General features: G+C 47.8%; 1 pseudogene; it reads left to right on the top strand.

The window, feature by feature from the left end:
• Positions 629-1,294, top strand: RPS7P1 (ribosomal protein S7 pseudogene 1; annotated as a pseudogene).

The raw sequence follows: 6,184 nt of genomic DNA on the forward strand, positions 1-6,184 counted from the left end.
GATCTGTTTGATTCCAAAACTCTGTGTTTGCTGAATGAATGAATACATGGGTAGATAAGGAATGAATGGAATCAGGTTCAGGGACCCAAAGATTGGAAGCCAGCATTAATCTTACCACCTCCTCCTATCTCTAGGGCCTCCTCACAACATTGAGCTAGGTGAAATCAGCTTAAAATAAATACCAAACGAAAGTTTAAATAGAAAACAAAGAGAGAAAGAGTCCTCAAAAGAGCTGGGCATGTGTCATCTAAGGACACAATCGACAGAATAAAAAGGCAACCTACAGAATGGAAGAAAATATTTGTAAACCATACGTCTGAGAAGGGGTTAATATCCAGAATATATAAAGAACTCTTACAATCCAACAACAACAAAAAACAAGTAACCCAATTTAAAAATTAGCAGACGGTTTCAATAGACATTCTCCAAAGAAGATATACAAGTGGACAAGTATATGAAAAGTTGCTCAACACCACTAATCACTAAGGAAATGCAAGTCTAAACCACAACGAAATATCTTCTCTGCAACATTCCAATTTTAATATGTGGGCTGCCGAAGCAAGCACAAAACCACAATGAAACACCACACACCCACTAGGATGGCTGCTGTTTTAAAAAAGACAAAACACTCTTCCTAAGCCGGCGCTCGGCAAGTTCTCCCAGGAGAAAGCCATGTTCAGTTCGAGCGCCAAGATTGTGAAGCCCAATGGCGAGAAGCCGGACGAGTTCGAGTCCGGCATCTCCCAGGCTCTTCTGGAGCTGGAGATGAACTCGGACCTCAAGGCTCAGCTCAGGGAGCTGAATATTACGGCAGCTAAGGAAATTGAAGTTGGTGGTGGTCAGAAAGCTATCATAATCTTTGTTCCCGTTCCTCAACTGAAATCTTTCCAGAAAATCCAAGTCCGGCTAGTACGCGAATTGGAGAAAAAGTTCAGTGGGAAGCATGTCGTCTTTATCGCTCAGAGGAGAATTCTGCCTAAGCCAACTCGAAAAAGCCGTACAAAAAATAAGCAAAAGCGTCCCAGGAGCCGTACTCTGACAGCTGTGCACGATGCCATCCTCGAGGACTTGGTCTTCCCAAGCGAAATTGTGGTCAAGAGAATCCGCGTCAAACTAGATGGCAGCCGGCTCATAAAGGCTCATTTGGACAAAGCACAGCAGAACAATGTGGAACACAAGGTTGAAACTTTTTCTGGTGTCTATAAGAAGCTCACGGGCAAGGATGTTAATTTTGAATTCCCAGAGTTTCAATTGTAAACAAAAATGACTAAATAAAAAGTATATATTCACAGTAAAAAAAAAAAATAATGAGTATTGTTGAGGCTGTGAGGAAATCGGAACCCTTGTGCGCTGTTGGTGGAAATGTAAGATGGTGCAGCTGCTGTGGCAAACTGCATGGCATTTCCTTAAAAAAAAAAAAACGAAACATAGAGCTACCAGATGATCCAGCAATACTGCTTCTTGGTATATATCCAAAAGAATTGAAAGGAAGGTCTCAAAGAGATATTTGTACACCCACGTTCATAACAGGGTTATTCACAATAGCCAAAAGGTGAAAGCAACCCAAATGTCTATTGACAGATGAACGGATAAACAAAATGTGGTATATACATAGAATGGGATGTTATTCAGCCATAAAAATGTTGACACATACACAAAATAGATGAATCTTAAGGACATTATGCTAAGTGAAATACACCTTTCACAAAAGACAAATAACCATATGATTTCATTTCTATGAGGTACTGAGACTAGTCAAACTCAAGGAAACATAAAGTAAAAAAGTAGTTGCCAGGGACTGGGGGAAGGAGGAAATGAGTTGTTTAATGAGTATAGAGTTTCAGTTTTGCAAAATGAAAAGTTCTGAAGTTGGTTGCACAGCAGTGTACATATACTTAGCAGCACTGAGCTGTACACTGAAAAAGGTTTCAGGTGGTCATTAAAATGTGTGTTTTATCACAATGTTTAAAGAGAGCTGGGCCTGGAGACTTAGAAGGAGAAAGAATGGGCCTTGCTACTTGGTGATGCAAGAAGGTGGTTCTTGGACTGATTGTGTATAAATGAGCCTCGGATCTCTTTTAGGATCAGAATACTCCCTGGGTCCCTGCCCAGCCTCCAACAGGGCTGGCTCTGGAAGGGTTACTCCCTATCTCCTCATCACGGTCTTGATGGTAATGAAAATCCATTCACTTCTCTGCCTGGTGGTCTGACCAATGGCCCCTATATGTCCGGCCTGAAGCTCCGGGGACTAGCTCCAGAACATGCTGGAAGGAGGGCTTGGCTCTCTGGCGTAAACCTTACAAATTATCTTATGGGCATCCCATCCACCCATCTACCCACCCATCCAGCCATCCATTCTTTCAACACGTACTTGTTGAGTACCAGCTCTGTGCCAGGTCCGTCCAGACAGTCTGTGCCCGGAGGGAGCCTGTAGTCTTGTGGGGGACAGAGATGGGTTATCAGGAGAATGCAATGCAGCGTGACATGTGTTTTGATATCTAGGGCACTTTGCAGGGGTCCTGATCCTGTCTGTGATGAGAGTTCACAAAGAAAGTTCGGTCTTAGGGCTTGAAAGGTAAACAAGACTGAACCAGTAGGGTAAGGAGGAGGAGTCAGGGAGAATATGCTTAGGAGAAGCAAGAGCGTGGGAACTGCCTGGAGATTTTACAAACTGCAGGACCCAACTGAGGATCTGAAAACAATTGAGTCTGGCATATTGTTGACTGCAGGCAGGAGTGGTGAGGGCTGAGGCGAAAGAGGAAAGGGAGAACTGGATCTTATAGGGACATTTAGGCACCTTTTGAGCACCTCGCGAGTTGCAGAGGGGGGTGGATTTGAACACGTATAAAACAAATTTTGTGGCTGGGCACAGTGGCTCATGCCTATAATCCCAGCACTTTGGGAGGCTGAGACGGGCGGATCATAAGGTCAGGAGATTGGGACCATCCTGGCCAACATGGTGAAACCCGGTCTCTACTAAAAATACAAAAAATTAGCTGGGCGTGGTGGCACGCATCTGTAGTCCCAGCTACTCGGGAGGCTGGGGCAGGAGAATCACTTGAACCCAGGAGGAGGAGGTTGCAGTGAGCCGAGATCGCGCCACTGCACTCCAGCCTGGGCGACAGAGCAAGACTCTGTCTCAAAACAAAACAAAACAAAACAAACAAACAAAAAATTTGTGGACCCAGTTGGAGAGGCAATGGAAGATGAGGGGAGTGGTCAGAGCACCTGGAGTCGGATTTGGGGTCTGGGATTCTCAGAGCTGTAAACACGATGCCCAACCCCCGAGTCCACCGTTCCCCAGGGCATGCCAGCCACCCAGGAGGGGCACTTCTTTTCGAGGGAGGGTGGTCTTCTTGAAAACAGCCCAGGTGCCTCCCTAGCCCCCCTATCCTGTGATCCTGTCTGTCCTTGAGAACATCCCTTCTTCTTCAATCAAGGATTTGATGACTGTCCCTGCCCACACCCTATCTTCTCTCCTCTAGGCTGGGCAGTCTCAGGTCTTAGAAATCATTCCTGATGCTCCCTAATATGTCCAGCCATCCTGGCTTTCTAGGATCCCTGGAGTTGTGCCCCTGTGGGCCCCAGGCCCAGCCTGCACAATGCTGGGTTGCCTCAACGGCCCCTGTCTTAAGGCCTGCCTCACATGTTCAGATATAAACTTCCTAAAAGCCACCTTTGTGACCCAGCCCCAGCTCTATCTCCAGCTTATCAGCCACCTGCTTCTGAGGACAAGCTGGCTCTTGCAAGCCAGAGACCATTTCCTCTCCCCCAAGGACTTGCAGCCAATCTCCGATAGCCCTGTCCAGGAGAGGCAATGGACAAAGTGCAGGGTAGGTGTTTCCTGGTAGTGACTCCTTCCTGAGATAGTACAGAGACCCATCACAGGGAAGGCCCCAGCAAAGACTGAAGAAGCCAGCCAGGCAACTACCGTATGTTACTCACAGTTCATTAGGAGCCATGCAAAAAACCACAGTTATCTGCTGCATTAATTAAAGGAGAAGGGGGTGGGGCAAAAGGGAATATTGAATAAGACCTGGCAGAGTGGGGCCCTGGCCATGACTCCCAGGCAAAGGGGAAGTTTTTGTAATGAATATGACAGCTGGAGTCTTCCCGCTGGCCTTGGGAATTCATCACTGCTTTGAGATGAATTCATCACTGATGGGGCCTGGCTGCTGGTGATGCAATAGCCCCCCAGTGCTGGGCCTCAAAAAAGAATCAAAGAAGGTCCCAAAAGCCTATGTCTTAGAAGAGGGCTGTAGGGGGAAGCCAGAGGGTCTCAGTAAAACATTGAGTTTTGTCCCAGCTCCATCAAAGGAGACCAGAGAATGGAGGGCTGAGCCAAGGGCACAGCCTTCCTGGAAACAAATCTGCATTCTCTCTGTTACTCACAAGGTGTGTGACTCTAGACGAGTAACCTCACTGCCCTGAGCCTACATCACAGAATTGGTATGGAGAGTTAGGTAAACTGGGATGCAGATTTTACACATGGTGAAGCTGGGCCTGGTTTTTTTTTTTTTTTTTTTTTTTGTGGCTCCTTAAAAGCCTCAGGCCATGGGAGAGGCTTCCACCAAGGTGAGATAGAATCGGGGCATTGTCCTGAGTGTCTGAAACCCTTTGTCTCTCCCTGTCCTTCCTGGCTCTTGCTTACTTTGCCCTGGGCAGGTGGCAGGCCACTGTGTGGGAGTGAAGGAGCCATGCCTGAAGGGGGGCTGGGGTGGCTAGCCTGTACTCTGTTACTGTAGCATCCCACCAGCCTGGCCTCGCTCCAGGAGCCCTCGAACTGGATCCCTCTGACCTCTAGGACCGCCCTGCAGAAAGCACCAGGGGCCTTTCTCTAAAAGATCCACTGGCTCCAGGAGTGTCTCGGTGGCATAACAGCCCAGGCCATGCTATGGTACACCTAAAACTATAGTTATCAGCTCTTAATCCTGTCCCCCGCAAATCCACATTCCAACCACGCAGAACCTTCTGTTCTCTAAACGTCCCCACGCTTCTGCATCTCTTCCCAGACTGTCTTCGCTGCCTGAAACATTCTCCCTGATACCCCGCCTCCTTATCCTAGCACACACGGATCATCATACTCTGATAACCTCAGAAACATGCATTGACCTTCAACTGCGTGCAGTCAGGGTGAGGAGGGGTGAGGGCGCCAGGAGACTGAGGGTCTGGCCAGAGATAAGACCCACAATTTCTTCCAAACTACAACTTGCTCCGTTCAACATACATACACACACACACGCATGCACTTGCCACCCTCCAGGCCTTCGTTCACTCTTCCCTCTCCTTGTGCCCCTTCCCCTATCACCTCGTGCCAAGTAAGACTGAGCTCTCAAGCCTTCGCTCAGATGCCATCTCTTCCAGGAGCCCTTGCCTGGTGCCTTTCACCCAGAGCTTCTGCCCTGGTTTGGACCTCCCTCAGGATACCCATAATGCATGTGTGAATTCTGGCTGGCTCCATGTCCTTTGGCCTCAGTTCCCCCATCTGTTAAATGGAATAGTAACACCTAACCCATGGTGTAGTTACCGAGTTGATGAAGTACAGTAACTGACTTGTACTAAGTGCTGAGCAAATGTCAGTCTTTACCACCAGCAGCAGCAGCAGCATTTTAATCTCTGTATCTTTAGCACTGAGCACAGGGCTGAATACATAATTGGTACTAAATACTTGCTTGGTGGAGGGATGGATGGATGGATGGTTGGATGGATGGATGGATGGATGGATGGATGATGGATAAATGAGAGATCTAGTATGTTTCCAAAATAAGAGACAATCTTTGCTGGGGGGCGAGGGGGCTAGGAAGAGCCTGAAAGAAACTAACCTTCATCGTACACCTGCCATGCATCAAAGCTCAACATATATAAGTTGTCTAATTTGAGCCTCACAATAGCAAGATATTACTGCAGAATAAGGAAGTGGCTAATTCTGAGAGGTTAAGTCGGTGGATCAGTGTCACACAAGATGTAGTCAGGACCAGGGACTTTGATGGTCCTCGATACCTGGAAGGAGGAGGAGGAGGACTTGCTCCAGGCCTTAGCTACTGTCAATCTTAGACTGAAAATTCCTAGGGCATCTCTGTGGGCAGGGCAGGGCCACCCCACCCAGGCTGTCACATAAAGTGCTCAGCTGAGAACCTAGCTTTGGAGAACAGCAGAAAGGAAAGGCCGGGCCAGCGGAGGTGGC

This window comes from Homo sapiens, chromosome 17 (genome assembly GCF_000001405.40).
Source record: "Homo sapiens chromosome 17, GRCh38.p14 Primary Assembly".
Lineage (NCBI taxonomy): Eukaryota > Metazoa > Chordata > Mammalia > Primates > Hominidae > Homo > Homo sapiens.